The 15,251-nt window shown below is 47.1% G+C and overlaps 4 annotated features.

Annotated features, from left to right (window-relative positions):
- Positions 260 to 761: an enhancer, noted in NCBI's record as "H3K4me1 hESC enhancer chr1:24604941-24605442 (GRCh37/hg19 assembly coordinates)". NCBI's record gives its function as "activates a minimal SCP1, AML or CMV promoter by ChIP-STARR-seq in primed H9 embryonic stem cells {active_cell/tissue: H9 hESC(primed)}" and the evidence as "EXISTENCE:reporter gene assay evidence [ECO:0000049][PMID:30033119]".
- Positions 7,909 to 8,507: an enhancer, noted in NCBI's record as "OCT4-NANOG-H3K27ac-H3K4me1 hESC enhancer chr1:24612590-24613188 (GRCh37/hg19 assembly coordinates)". NCBI's record gives its function as "activates a minimal SCP1, AML or CMV promoter by ChIP-STARR-seq in naive H9 embryonic stem cells {active_cell/tissue: H9 hESC(naive)}" and the evidence as "EXISTENCE:reporter gene assay evidence [ECO:0000049][PMID:30033119]".
- Positions 8,508 to 9,106: an enhancer, noted in NCBI's record as "OCT4-NANOG-H3K27ac-H3K4me1 hESC enhancer chr1:24613189-24613787 (GRCh37/hg19 assembly coordinates)". NCBI's record gives its function as "activates a minimal SCP1, AML or CMV promoter by ChIP-STARR-seq in naive H9 embryonic stem cells {active_cell/tissue: H9 hESC(naive)}" and the evidence as "EXISTENCE:reporter gene assay evidence [ECO:0000049][PMID:30033119]".
- Positions 8,548 to 8,842: a silencer, noted in NCBI's record as "tiled region #530; K562 Repressive non-DNase unmatched - State 21:Repr". NCBI's record gives its function as "represses a minimal TATA promoter and a strong SV40 promoter by Sharpr-MPRA in K562 cells {active_cell/tissue: K562}" and the evidence as "EXISTENCE:reporter gene assay evidence [ECO:0000049][PMID:27701403]".

Raw genomic sequence — 15,251 nt, forward strand, 5'->3', positions numbered from 1 at the left:
ACTATTTGGGAGGCTGAGACAGTGGAATCAATAGAGCCCAGGAGTTCAAGGCAGCAGTGAGCTGTGATCAGGCCACTGCACTTCAGCCTGGGCAATGGGAATAAGACACTGTCTCAAAAAAAAAAAAAAGAAAAAAAGATTGGGGGCCCTTCAAAGTCACCCAAGCTGGGCTAAAACCATGGATTCCGGGGCAGGTTACATCATCTTTCTAAACCTCACTTTCCTCATCTGAGAAATGGGATAATAACAGTCCAAATGTGACAATGGGTGTAATGCTTTGGCATGCTGCCCGGCAATTAAGCCCTTAGCTACTATTCTCTCTAATGTATGTTTACTGGCTGCCCACTTGGTCCTAAGCACCTGTCCCTCTTGGGCAGGAGTGGGCTGATTCTCCAGCTGAGGAGTCCTGGGCTGGGGTCAAGGGTCTCCATTTGAGGATCCTTGGCTTATAGACCATCTGGTCCATGGCTGACACACATACCACACTAGAATGACCAGCTGCCCCCAGGAAAGCGAGCCTGGGTCCTGGCAGAGTGGGTGGGTGGAAGACAAGCTGTCTCAAAGCTCAGAAATGAGCACGTCCTAATGCCTCTGAGCTTGGCAGTCACCTTTGGGAAGCTGATACCCACCTTCAGGGCCAGACACCCAGTCCCAAGTCCTGGCCTGAGGGCCAGGGGAAGCTCTGGTCTTGCCAGCATCCCAAGCAGTCGCTTTGTGCCTGAACAGAGCTTCCTTTGTGTGGTGGCAGCAGCAGATAACTGCTCCTGGGTGGCAGGTTACTCACTGAAGTGCAATCCCTGATTTACTAACTGGAGCAATTGCTAGGCTGTGCCAGCAAGGCTACCGTGTTGGCCTCCAGGGGCAGGTGCCACAAGGGCTGTCACTGTATCCTGGGGAGGACCCCAGAGCCTCTATTCCAAGATGTCCAAGCTACATCCATTGACCCCATAGTGGGGTTTGGAACTTCAAGAAGGGGCTGGGCGCGGTGGCTCATGCCTGTAATCCCAGCACTTTGGGAGGCTGAGGCAGGTGGATCATTTGAGGTCAGGAGTTCAAGACCAGCCTGGCCAACACAGTGAAACCCCGTCTCCACTAAAACATACAAAAATTAGCCGGGCAGTAGTGGCACATGCCTATAATCCCAGGTACTTGGGAGGCTGAAGCAGGAGAATTACTTGAGCCTGGAAGATGGAGGTTGCAGTGAGCTGAGATCGAGCCACTGCACTCCAGTCTGGGCAACAGAGTGAGACCTTGTCTCAAAAAACAAAACAAAAAAAAAAACAAAAAAAACACAAAAAACACAAGAAGGTCCTTAGAAAACCCTGGACATCTTCAAGCTAATGGATCTAAAGTTTTTCTGGTGCTAACGGCAACCCCGCCCAGCAGGAATTATCATCTGTACTTTGTAGATGAGGAAACTGAGGCTCAGAGAAGTTGAAGTTAAGCAAGTGGCCCAAAGGACCTCAGCCAATCCAAAAGCCTTTCTTGCTGCCCAGTCCTGACATCCCTGGTGGTGGTGAAAACAGGGGAAGCCTGAGGGTACTGATTAATCACCACCGTTTAATCTCGTTGAAAGCAGTTATTAAGTTGGTGCAAAAGTAATTGCGGTTCTTGCCATTACTTTTAATGGCAAAAACTCGTCAACTTTTGCACCAACCTAATACCATGTGGCAGGCACAGGGTCAAGCAATGAGTGTGTATGGTCTCCTTCCATCTCAACATCACCTCCCCTGAGAGAGATGTCATTATTCCTCCTAACAGAGGAGAAAACTGAGACCCATGGAGGTTACTTGTGTGATCCCACAGCTGCTAAGTGGCAGAACCAGAATTTGAACCCACATTTCTCTGTGAGTAAGACAGATGGTGAATTATTACCAAATATTGATTGAAGCAGGAGTTGGTAACATGACAAGTCTTTTAAAACCCAGTTTTATTAAGTACAATACACATATGTACAGAAAAGTGTAATATACATTATAGAAAAGTGCACCAATCATGAATTTTCACAATCTGAACACCGCCATCCATACCTAGGTGCAAAAGCAGAACTTTCCCAGTAACACACACCCCCTCACTCCCCTGTCCTGACCATTATCCTGACTTCTAATCTCATCAGTTCATTTTGTCCTTTAGCTAAATGAAATCACACATCGTGTGTCCTTTTGTGCCTGGCTTCTTTCATAATTATGTTTGTGTACAGGAAGCCTGTTTTTCAATGTTTTATTATGAAAGTTTTCAAACATCACAGCAAAAGTTGAAAGCATTTTATAGTGAATATCCTTAAACTCACCATTTAAATTCTATGAATGTTGTACTGTACTTGCTTTTCTTTCACATAAAGCCATCCCTCTAGACATTCATTAATGCTTCGACTTCATTATAAATTTTAAAGTAAATTGCAGACATCAATACAATTTCCTTAACTACTTCAGCATGCACATATATTTGCTCACAACTTTTATCCTTTTGATGTAAAATTTATATATGATGAAATGCACAAGTGCTTTTTATTGAGTTTTCATAAATGCATACACCTGTGATCCCAAACCCTCTCAAAATAAAGAATATTCCCCTCACTCCAGGAAGTTCCCTCATGCCCCTTCCCAGTCAATACTCTCCCCTCCAGCACACTAGGCAACCCACTGTACCAATATTTTTCCACAGTAGATTGGTTTTGCCTGTCCTGAAAATTCATATAAATGGAATGATACCTTATATAATCTCTCATGTAAGGCTTTTTTCATTCAATGTAGTGTTTTGAGATTCATCCATGTTGTTCCTGCATATCATTAATTCATTCCTTTTTATTAATGGGGAGTATTCTTTTGTAGGCCTATACTGCGGTTCGTTTGTCCATTTTCCTATTGATGGACACCCGGGCTGTTGACAATTTGGGGCTATTATGAGAAAGGTGCTATGTGCACTCTTCTACAAGGCTTTTTGTGAATTTGTGTTTTCATTTCTTTTGAGTAAATACTTAGGAGTACAACGACTGGGTCACAGGGTAGGTGTATGTTTTATTTTACAAAAAAATGACAGATCTTTTTCCAAGGTGGTGGTACCATTTTATTGCACCACCAACAATGTATCACTTTGTCACCAACAATGAATGAGAGTTCCAGTTGCTCCACAGCCTCATCAACATTTGGTCTAATTTTATTTTATTTTATTTTATTTTTGAGACAGAGTCTTGCTCTGTCACCCAGGCTGGAGTGCAGTGGCACGATTTCAGCTCACTGCAACCTCCACCTCCCAAGCTCAAGTGATCCTCCCACCTCAGCCTCCCAAGTAGCTGGGTCTACAGGCATGTGTGGCCATGCTGGGCTAAATTTTTGTATTTTTTGCAGAGACGGGGTTTCACTATATTGCCCAGGCTGGTCTCGAACTTCTGAGCTCAAATGATCCACCCCACTTCAGCCTCCCAAAGTGCTGGGACTACAGGCATGAGCTACCACACCTGGCTGGTATTGTCCATCTTTTTAATGTTTCTGGTAGGTATGTAGTAGCAGCTCACTGTGGTTTTAATTCACATTTTTATGAAAAAGCACCTCTTTCTCCAGATGGATACAGTTCCTTGCCAAGACTCACCGCTTAGCAAGCAGAGCACAGCCTGCCCAACGATCCATGGTGGCTGTGCTTCAGGTCTCCATTGTGCCTACTGGGCAAGATGAACAGGAGCCAGCCCTTGAAGTACTATCTTTATTTTAAAGAAAAATAGCATCTATAGTGGTTGAGAGTGGCCTCTGCAGTTAGATTGTCTGGGTTCAGACCCCAGCCTCACCACATACCAGCTGTGTGACAATGGACAAATTACTTCCCATTTCTAAGTCTTCATTCCCTCACATCTACTCATAAGTTTGTGGTGAAGATTAAATAAGATGGAACATGTAACATACCTAGCACAGAAAACACTAGTAAACATTAGTTGTTTTGTTATTGTTCTATCTGAGTAGAAAAGTTACATACAATTATCATAGAAAATGAAGAAAAGTAGAAAGAAGCTTAAAGTTACCATAACCCTGACATCCAAAGATAACTGTTATTAATATTTGGTGCATTTTTCTAGTATTTCTATATAGGATTAAAAATTTTTTTTTAATTTTTTTTTTCCACAGTCTCACTCTGTCACCTGGGCAGGAGTGCAGTGGCATGATTTTGGCTCACTGCAGCCTCAACCCCTTAGGTTCAAGCAATCCTCCTGCCTCAGACTACTGAGTAGCTGGGACCATAGGCACACACCACCATGCCCGGCTAATTTTTTCATTTTTTTGTGGAGATGGGGGGGGTCTCACTTTGTTGCCCAGGCTGGTCTGAAACTCCTGGGCTCAAGCTATTCCCCCACCTTGGCCTCCCAAAGTGTTGGGATTACAGTCGTGAACCACTGTACCCAGCCTGGAATTGTTTAAAAACACCAATGGCATCATACTCTGTATACAATTTCATACCCTCCTTTCTATATTTAACTCTATGTCATTAACATTTTCTCATGTCATTGCATGTTCTTCAAAACTCCACTCCTAAAGGCTGTGGAATGTTCCAGCAACAGGTGCTGCACTGTGTCAGGTGATAAAGCAGTGGGTTGAAGATCAGTGATTCCAGAAACAGTCTTGTATCCTCTTGACTACATGTGATTATTCCCTTAGGATATTTTTAAAGCCTTTGATAAACATTATCAATTTGGAGCACCAGATCAAAACCACATCTTTTCACTTTTTCCTAAATATAAAATTAATGCAGGTTATGAAAAGAAGAAATAATACATGATTGTGAAGAATAGAAAGTGAAAGCCCCCCTCCCTCCCCAATAATCTCACTAGTAAAGAAAAATCACTTTGATGTACATGCTTCCAGACCTTCTATTCCATACATATGCAACAGTAGATATAAGTATACTAACCCAAGAGTAGAAGGGGATGCTGGAGTCTGCCTGTGCCTGGTTCAAGTTCTGACTCTGCTGTGTATTCACTGTGTGACCTGGGGCGAGTTAATTCACCTCACTGTGCCCTGTTTTTAAAAATCGCTTCATTTGTTTCTGGAGTTATTTTTCAAATATCTCCAGGTTCCTCAACATTCTCAACCCTGAATGGATACTGGAGAGTCTGCTGGAGTCTGTACCTGAAACTGGGCCAGGGATGCCTTAGCCGTTTGGACCAGACATTCCTCCCATGCTGCTGCCCTGGAGGTCCCTGGACCACAGGCGAGGTTGAGGTTCCCCAGCTTTGCAGCAAGTAAACATTGATTCACCTGGGCACCCGGGGTAATTGTACAAATTGCCCATGCAGATGGGTGCCTCATGCCTGGTTACCCAATGCTTACTCAGGTAGGTGTGGTTACCCAGAGACAGGTGGGTGCCCACGCCTCACCTACTACTTGGAGGCCCCAGTCATAGTCATCATATCAGGGAGTATGGGGGATGCCATTTGGGGCCTCCTCAAAAAAGATGCCACCTGCTCTAGCCCAGGAAGTCAAGCTATGGTTGCTCACCTTGGGACAGTAGGGACAGCTTGCTGGGCTTGTAAATAAATGTGGAGCAAATCACAGTGAATGACCCGCACCTCACTTAGGCCTTCACCAGGCATTGCCAAATGCTGCCTTCTCTTTACTCGCCCAGGAGCCCAGGCACATTGGTGTCTTCATTATTTCCGAGTGGACCTTATTCAATAACCCAGGGAAAATCAACAATGTGATTAATTAAAATCTTAAGACACACTCTGTTTTGTTATCTGTGGACTCTACTGAGCTACTTCCTCCAGGAAGAAGGAATTGGCCCACTTGTTGGGTTTATTTATTTACTTATCTACATGCATCTGGACAGTTTTGCGTTGTGATTCATTCTGGGAAAGCTATATCAGATGGGACCACATCCAAGGAGGAACCGGGTTGGGAAAGGATGCTGGAATCCCGGAATTGCCTTCCCAGTCACCTCAGAATCAGGATTATGCTCTTTTTTAATGCTTTCTCCTTCACAATGAGTTTCCCCCCCAGAAACCTCATTAACCCTGAAACTTTTTGAACATTTTCCACAGGTAAGGGAGGCTGGTCTTCTGGACTCGGCTGAGTCCTGGGTGACTCAGGCTGAGTCCTCAGGAAAACCCCAGGGGCTCAGGATGCAACCTGCTGAGTCCCAGGCCGGTGGCCGAACCTCCTCAAGCCTCGTCTTCTCATCAGCAAAATTAAAAGTTCCCTCTTAGGGTGTTGCAGGTTTCAATAGAATCACACCGCGGATCAGGCTCGCTTCGGGGCCATTGCACATGCTGTTCCCTTTTTCTGAGACACAATTCCTCTCTTCCCATCACCACTCCAGCCTCTCAACTTGGTTGACACCAACCATCCTTCCAGCCGTAGTTTAAATATCATTTCTGGCTGGGTGCCCTGGCTCATGCTTGTAATCCCGGCACTTTGGGAGGCCAAGGTGGGCAGATTGCTTGAGTCCAGGAGTTCAAGGCCAGCCTGGGCAACACAGACCCTGTCTCTACAGAAGTAAACAAAATTAGCCCAGTGTGGTGGTGTGTGCCTGTGGTCCCAGCTACTCAGGAGGCTGAGGTGGGAGGATTGCTTGAGACCGGGAGGTTAAGGCTACTGTGAGCTGTAACCATGCCATTGTACTCCAGCCTGGGTGACAGAGCACGACCCTGTCTCAAAATTAAATAAATAAATAAATATTATTTCTTCAGAGAGTACCTCAGCCCAGCTCAGGTGCCCAGTTCAAAGCACCCACCTCAGCCCAGTTCAAAGCACACACAGTCCCTTGAATTTTCCTTCTCAGCCTCATCACATCTGTAATTTAAGTAACTCTTTGTTTAACATCTGCCTCCTTGGCCCAGCCCAGGAGCCCCATGGGGGAGGGCTGGGTCTCTGTTGCTCACCCCTCCATCCCGCTCCTCATGCAGGTCTGGCACTTAGTGGGCACTTGGGAAACACGAGTGACCCTTTCAGAACCCAGGAGATGGCCTGTGGATCTGGAACCTCCAGCACCCACGTGAGGCCCTTTGACTTGGCCTCTTGCCAATAAGGTTTGGGCCAAGGCCATGGAGACAGTGGCAGAAGCCTTGGCGTTCAAGCTGTACCCCCCTAGAAATTGGGGTTCAGTCAGTTCCCCAATTCTGTGGTTAGATTAAGGGTGGGCAGGCCCAGACAAGCCTGTTCTGGAGCAGAGGCCACTGGGGCAGGCAAACCCTGAGCCTCACCCACGCTGCTCTGTCTCCGGAGCACACGCAGGCTGCTACATGCCTAAGGAGATGTGGCAGCTGCTCCCCAAACGCAGCTACACCCCGACCTCCATCTTGAGAGAGAGGAGAGCCTGTGGTGTACAGCGTGGCCCCAGCAGGCACCTGTGCTGATGGGAAAACACACAGACAGGCCAACGAATACACGTACGCGCACGCACGTACAGACTCCACTCAGAGGCAACTTCTGGGCAAGGCCCAGCCCTCTGCTGTGGTTTTGTATGGGCCCAAATATTTCTCTTTCTTGATTTATGAGCTGAGGAGGGTGAGAATCCCAATAGGCACAGCCTAGTGGCACAGGGACCTGGTTGTCTGTGTGCCCTGGGGAATTACATTGAGAATAAGGACAATGCCAACAGCGGCAGCTGCCAAAGTTGTCTTTTAAAATCAAAGACTCCTATGTGCCAGGCACCGTGCTAAGCCTTCTGTACATGACCAATATTTATTGAGGGCCCACTGTGCTCCAGGCACCGTGTAAGGCTTTTGGGATACAGCGATGCACAGAGGAGGTATGAAGTTGTGCCCTCGTGCAGCTTATGGTTGGGAAAGGCACGTAGTAAGTGAAACAAATAAGTAACTTATACAGCAGGTTAGAAGGGGCATGTGCTGTGGAGGGAAATAAGGTAGCAAAGGAGGAGAGAGGAGTGGAGTTGGGCAGGGGAATGCTGTGGTTTTGTTTTTTTTTTTATGTTTTTATTTTTGATACTGGGTCTTGCTGTGTTGCCCAGGCTGGGGGGCAGTGGTGCAATCACCGCTCTCACTGCAACCTCGACCTCCCAGGTTCAAGCCATCCTTCCACCTCAGCTTCCCAAGTAGCTGGAACTACAGGTGTGTACCACGACGCCCAGCTAATTTTTCTGTTTTTTTTTTTTTCTTTTTTGTATTTTTTGTGGAGACAGGGTTTCACCATGTTGCCCAGACCCATCTCAAACTCCTGGGCTCAAGAGATCCTCCCACCTTGGCCTCCCAAAATACTGGGGATTACAGGCGTGAGTCACTGTGCCCCACCTAATGTTGTGGTTTTAAACAGCCTGATCAGGCTCCCGGAGAAGGTGACACTGTATCGTCTCAGGTCACCTTCTTAATAAGCTCCTCTGGTCATCACTATTATCATCCCCATGTGATGGCTGAGAGAGCTGAGGCTCAGATGGGGAACAGACGTGCTCAGAGGGTCTCAGTTTGTGATAGCAGAGCTAGGATTTGAACCCAGATCTCCCTGATGTCAAAACGTTAGTTAACCAGCCATGAGATCCTGCCTTCTGGCACAGTGGCCTGCCCCTGCTTGCCACAGCCCTTGGGGTGCAGGCCTTCCAGGACCGGGGGCTGTGTTCAGATTCCATCTGCTGGGTTACCTGCCAGGAGAGGGCAGTTGCTGAGTCTCCCTAGGGCTGGCATTCCTGCTAGGCATGTGTCTCCAAGTCAGACCTGTTTGGGCTGCACAGCCCAGCCCCTGAAAAAGTTCTTTTGTGCTTTCTCAAAGGGCCTCACAAGAGGGTTAAACGCCCTCACATTAGTGCTAATTTGGGGCTGACTTTCCTATTCAGCCAGGGACAAAGCGGTGTTTGCACAAGGACCTGAGGAATGGGACCACACGCACTGCCAGGGAGCGGGGGCTCTGTGCCCACCGCCCTCCGCCCACCCTCCCTGCCCTCGCAGGCCCCTGTTTCTCTCACAGGTAACTGGAGCTCTGCTGGGATTCTGGGTCCTCTGGCTCTAGCTCTGCCCAGAGATCTGAGCAAGTCTTGGCCCCAGTCTCTCCCAGTGAAAACCCTCTATGAAGGAATGGAAGGGCCCATTACAGATCCCTATTGTCATGGACAAGAAATGTTTGTTGTAATGAAAAATAGAAACAACCTAAATGTCAATCAAAGGGGCAAATGGTTAAGCACACGAGAGAACAAACATTCACATCACACAGATATTTAAAAAGAGTGAGGCTGGTCTCTGGGCACAGCAACACAGAAAGCACATACAGCCTGCTGTGAAGCAAAAACAGAAAACTGCAAAAGAATATACACAGTAGGATCCCATTTAGATTCATTTATTTTATTTTATAATTTTTTTGAGACAGGGTCTCACTCTATTGCCCAGACTGGAGTGCAGTGGTGCAATCTCGACTCACTGCAGTCTTGAACTTTCCAGCTCCAGTGATCCTCTCACCTCAGCCTCCCGAGTAGCTGGGACTACAGGTGTGCACCACCACACCTGGCCAATTGTGTGTGTGTGTGTGTGTGTGTGTAGAGACACCTGTAATCCCAGCACTTTGGGAGGCCAGGGCAGGTAGATCGCTGGAGCTCAGGAGTTTGAGACCAGCTTGGGCAACATAGGAACACCTCAACTCTCCAAAAAATGTTTTAAAAACCGGCCAGATGCAATGGTTCATGCCTGTAATCCCAACACTCTGGGAGGCTAAGGCGGGTGGATCACTTGAGGTCAGGAGTTCAAGACCAGCCTAGCCAACATGGTGAAACCCCCGTCTTGACAAAAAAAAAAAAAAAAAAAAAAAAAAAAAATTAGCCAGGCAGGCACTGTGCTGCACACCTGTAGTCCCAGCTACTTGGGAGGCTGAGACATGAGAATCGCTTGAACCCAGGAGGTGGAGGTTGCAGTGAGCCAAGATCACGCCACTGCATTCCAGCCTGGGTGACAGAATGAGACTCCATCTCAAAAAAAAAAAAAAACCTAGCTGGGTGTACTGGTGCATGCCTGTAGTCCCAGCTACTCGGAAGGCTGAGGCAGGAGGATCACTTGAGCCCCAGTGGGTAGACATCGCACCACTGCATTCCAGCCTGGGCAACAGAGTGAGACCCTGTCTCAAAAAAAAAAAAGTATAAATGTGTATGTATGTATGTATGTGTGTGCATGTGTAAGAGACAGAGATAAGTACATTGAATGAAGAACTTCTGTGTTGTTCTATACAGTTGACACTCACTACTTACGGTAGTTCTCCTCCTATAAAGTCACCGCAAACGCTGACTTCCCAAATACAGAACCATTGCTCCTAGATATATCCAAGGTGAAATTCCTGTGAGCCACTGATCACATTTTCATTAACCAAGCAATATGGAACCTTGTTTTATGTGTGATTCTATTAAACACACTTTATTTAGTGTAAGTTGTTGCTTCATTAACATTGACTGCACTGTAATTCATGCATGAAGGAAGCTTATCTAACATGTATTTTCTCTCTGTAAGGCACATCACAGCTTAGGAACACTAGACAGCACTTCATCCCTACACTTAGGGGCTATTTTATTATTTATTTATTTATTTATTTATTTATTTATTTTGAGACAGGGTCTCGCTGTGTTGCCCAAGCTGGAGTGCAGTGGTGTGATCACAGCTCATTGCAGCCTTTAACTCCCAGGCCTAAGCAATCCTCCCACCTCACCCTTCTGAGCAGCTGGAGCCACAGGCATGCACCACTATGTCCAGCTAATTTTTTTTATTTTTGTAAAAACAGGGTCTCACTATATAGCCCGGGCCAGTTTCCAACTCCTGAGCTCAAGCGATCCTCTCACCTCGGCCTCCCGAAGTGTTGAAATTACAGGCATGAGCCACTGCACTCAGCCTTGGGGGCCATTTTAAACAGCAAAATCACCAAAGAAAGCACAAAAAGTGAAAAGTGCAGAATTAAACAGAGCACGATAGGACATTTGTTGATTGTATGACAGCTGAAACAAGAGGGCACGGCCTTGCTTTGTTCAGCCTCAGTTGGGAATGTAGCATCGGGCAGCCCAAAGTTTTTGCTGCTCCACACGTGTGTGAAAGACAGTGAACACCCTGTGAATATTGACTTTGGAGTTGCAAATATATTTTAGCAAGCAAGCAAATTCACAAATATGGAATCTGCAAAGGATGAGGATTGACTGGTGATACTTTTAAGGTTCAACTTGGCATTCTGCGAGCTCCCTGGTGCCACGCCAGGCCTCTGGTCAGCTGTGTGACCTTAGGTGTCCATATCTGAACTAGATTTCATCTCCTTTGCAGAGTTGTTGTGAGAATTAAATGAAATGATGTCTGTAAAACACCTAGCACAGTGCCCGATACACAGTAGGTGCTAAAAAACCGGCCATTATGAGATGGCTCATGCCTGTAATCCCAGTGCTTTGGGAGGCCAAGGTGGGAGGATCACTTGAGGCTGGAAATTCAAGAGCAACCTAAGCAACATAGCAATATCCCCTCTCTAGAAAAAAAAAGTTTTAAACATTAGCTGGGTGTGGTGGTGTATGTCTGTAGTTCCAGCTACTTGGGAAGCTGAGGCAGGAGGATCACTTGAGCTTGGGAGCTGGAGGCTGCAGTGAATCATGATCATACTGGTGACACAGTGAGACCCTGTCTCATAAAAACAAAAAACAAAAAAGTGCATTGTTACTATTATCATCATTGGCCCAGGACCCTGTGTTCTATACACAGGGTGATTTTAACCAAGGTTTAGAGAAGGCCTGTCTGCACCAGAACTCCGGGCTGGCATCATTTTCATAAATTCTTTGTCCCATTCAGCTCCTCTCTGGCTATTCAGAAAATAATCTGAATGTTGAAACTTGTAAGCAATAAAAGGATTTCATGACACAGGCCAAATCAGGACTTTTCCGCTTTGCAATGACAGCCTTCCCCTCTCCTCTGCTGTGGCCCTGGCTCTCCACTCTCTCCTTGGGCTTCCCATGGGACTGCTTAGCATGGATCCCACGGGGTTATGGTTAACAGTCAAGAGTCCCGGGCGCAGGGCCAGGATGGCAACTCGCCCAGGGCAGGAAGCAGCTTACGCATCAGTATTCCCCATACTCAGCACAGGGCCTGGCACAGATCAGTGCCCTGTGAAGGGCTATGAGTTGAAAAAATAGTGACCTAGAGTGTACTGGGTGTCTCACCCAAACTTCCCTGACACGGAATAGAAAGCGATGAACAGAGTTAGCACTCAATATGTATTTGTGGGCCGGGCGTGGTGGTTCACGCTTGTAATCCCAGCACTTTGGGAGGCTGAGGCGGGTGGATTGCTCGAGGTCGGGAGTTTAAGACCAGCAGGGCCAGCATGATGAAACTCTACTGAAAAAAAAAACAAAAATTAGCCAAGCGTGGTGGTAGGTGCCTATAATCCCAGCTACTGGGGAGGCTGAGGCATGAGAATCTCTTGAACACATGAGGTGGAGGTTGCAGTGAGCCAAGATTGTGCACTGCACTCCACCATGGGTGACAGACCGAGACTCCATGTCAAAAAAAAAAAAAGTATTTGTGGAAGCAGGGAGGAAGAGAGGAAAAAGAAGGAAAGAAGAGGCATGCCTGACCCACCAACTGGATGACCAAACTATGAAAGAACCGAGAAACGAATGAAATGGAATTCCTCTCGTAGTTCTCCTTCTCTGGAGAACTCTCCTTCTCATCATTGGAAAAGGAGATAAATTAAATGAGTTGGTCTTTTAAATAATAAGCGCTAGCATAATAGCCGTATTTACCATGTGACCAGCTGTGTTCTGTTCATTTTGAGTGTATTAACTAATTTAATTCTCACACCAATTCTAGGAGATGTGTTACTGTGCCCATTTTACAAATGAGCAGACCAAGGCTCCAAGAAGCCAAGTAACAAGCTCAAGGTCGTGTGGCTGCTTAGTGGAGCAGCTGGCTCCAGAGGCTGCCCTCTGGGCTGCGATTGCTTTGGTCCCTCTGAGGTGTTTCAGGAGGTGGACCCCCCCACAGGTGGTGATGACACAGGGCTGGTATTGTGCCCTGCTCATCCTGTTGCTCAGATCCTCAGGTGTGGACTCCTTTGCTTGCCTCTTGCCCATTTCTCCACAGTCTAGCTCTAACAGACATTTTCAGTTTGATCTCCTTCTACGTCCTTTCCCGTACCCGATGCTGCACCCAAGCCAGCTACTCCCTGTTCCCTGCTCACACCCTGTGCATTCCTGTGTCTAGGCTTTTCCTGCTGCTGTTCCTTCCTTGGCCTGGAATGTGTTCTCCCACCCCCGACTCTCACAATCATCCCCACCTCTCCAAGTCCAATTCAGGTGCCACTTTAGCTGTGAAGCCCTCGCTGGCCATCCCTGTTTAAAATGCATTACGCCTTGCCCTGCTCTGGGCTTCAGTAACTAACTCTTGATCATCTCCAGCCCCCCACATCCCACCCTAAGAAACTCTCATTGACCAGGAGCCGGGCTGAATTTCTTCACCCCTCCCCACCCCAGATGTTGAGATTTGGGAGAGCAAGGAGCTCTGTCTAGCTCATATCCTTGTCCCCGCTGCCCAGCATAGGACCCGGCATAAGTACACTAACCGTAAAAGCATGGTTAAAAGTGACCTACTCCACTTTCAGCCACTAGCTGATGACGATGTGCTGGTGTCCCACACCTTCCATTCCAGGATTCCTTCAGGTTCCCTCAATACACTTCCCACTACACCTCTGTGCCTTGGCCATGCTGTTCCTTCCACCTGGAATGCTCTCTCTACCTCGGCTGCTCAGAGAATCCAGAGTCTTTTCAAGTTCAGTTCAATGTCCCTTCCTCTAGAAAGCCTTCTCCCTCCTTTGCCCCAGAGCTAAATCACTTCTTCTTTTGCGTTGTCTCCGCACTTCACACCTGCCTGGGGGTTTGCTAAGCTGTACTGCAATGAGTTTTCCTGTCTGTCCCAGGTGGCTCTTTGAAGCTGGGACATGACAGACCACCTCTACGTCCCCAGGACCAAATACAGTGATTTTAAAGCATGTTTAGTTGTGGAACTCTCTCTTCAAAAGCAAAATCTATACGTATCTCAAAATAAAACAGATATAAGAAAGCAGTTCTTGGCAGAATGGGGAAGGGGACTGGGGGCAGCCCCACCTGTGTGAGCATCTCAGACCCACCAGGGACGCTGTCTCAGAGCTTCTAGGCCTCAAACACAGTGTGAAAACCCCTGACTCAGCACAACATCTGGAATAAGGTCGCTGCTCAACAAATTCTTTTTAAATGATTTGAAGGCCAAACACTTTCAGGACCCAAATAATGAATTTCTTAGAGTGGAATTTCAGACACCTTGCCTGGAAGAAGAGACACACTGGGGCTTTGGCTCAGGAGTCAGGGGTTCAAGCCTCAGCCCGGTTGCTCCCTGGCAGGACAGGGACCTCACCTCTCTGGACTTAATTTTTTTCATACATAAAATGAGAAGAAAAGTAACACTTACAGGTGTAAGGGCTACTGGCTGTGGTTATTTCTAGGCACTGGGGCTCTCTGCCCCTCTCTTTTCCTTAAATCACATCATTCATGTCCTACTGAAAAAAGACCCACTGGCCGGGCGCGGTGGCTGATGCCTGTAATCCCAGCACTTTGGGAGGCTAAGGCGGGCAGATCATGAGATCAGGAGTTTGAGACTAGCCTGGCCAACATAATGAAACGCTGTCTCTACTGAAAATACAAAAAAATTAGTCCAGCATGGTGGTGCGCACCTGCAGTCCCAGCTACTCGGGAGGCTGAGGCAGGAGAATTGCTTGAACCCGGGAGGCGGAGATTGCAGCGAGCCAAGATTGCGCCACTGCACTCCAGCTTGGGCGACAGAGCGAGACTTCATCTCAAAAAAAAAAAAAAAAAAAAAGAAAAAAAAAGACGCACTGCAGTCAGAGTGTAGGCCAGTCTGGTATAACGATTTGAGCATGGGTCTTGGCGCCAGATCCTGGCTCTGGTCTCTGAGCCTCAGTTTGCTCATCTGCCAAATGGGGATAATAACAGTAGCTCGTGGGGTAGAGAAGGCTTGTAATGTAGAAGTTAAGTGTGTGCACAGGTCCAGTTGCCCTGCTTTGAGACCTGGCTCCCTCATTTTCTAGCCCTGTGACCTTGAGCAGATTACTTCACTCTATGTGCCTTGGTTTCTCCAGCTGTAAAAAGGGAGAAATAATAGTACTCCCCTCATAGGCGTGGATAGTCATAGACGTGAAATGCTTAAAACAGTGCCTGGCACATAGTAACTGCTACATATGTGTACCCAACTGATACCATCCCATGGGGCTGTTGTGAGGATTAAATTAGAATATAAATAAAACGTGTCCAGCCTAGGGCCTGGT

This window comes from Homo sapiens, chromosome 1 (assembly GCF_000001405.40).
Source record: "Homo sapiens chromosome 1, GRCh38.p14 Primary Assembly".
In the NCBI taxonomy this organism is placed as follows: domain Eukaryota; kingdom Metazoa; phylum Chordata; class Mammalia; order Primates; family Hominidae; genus Homo; species Homo sapiens.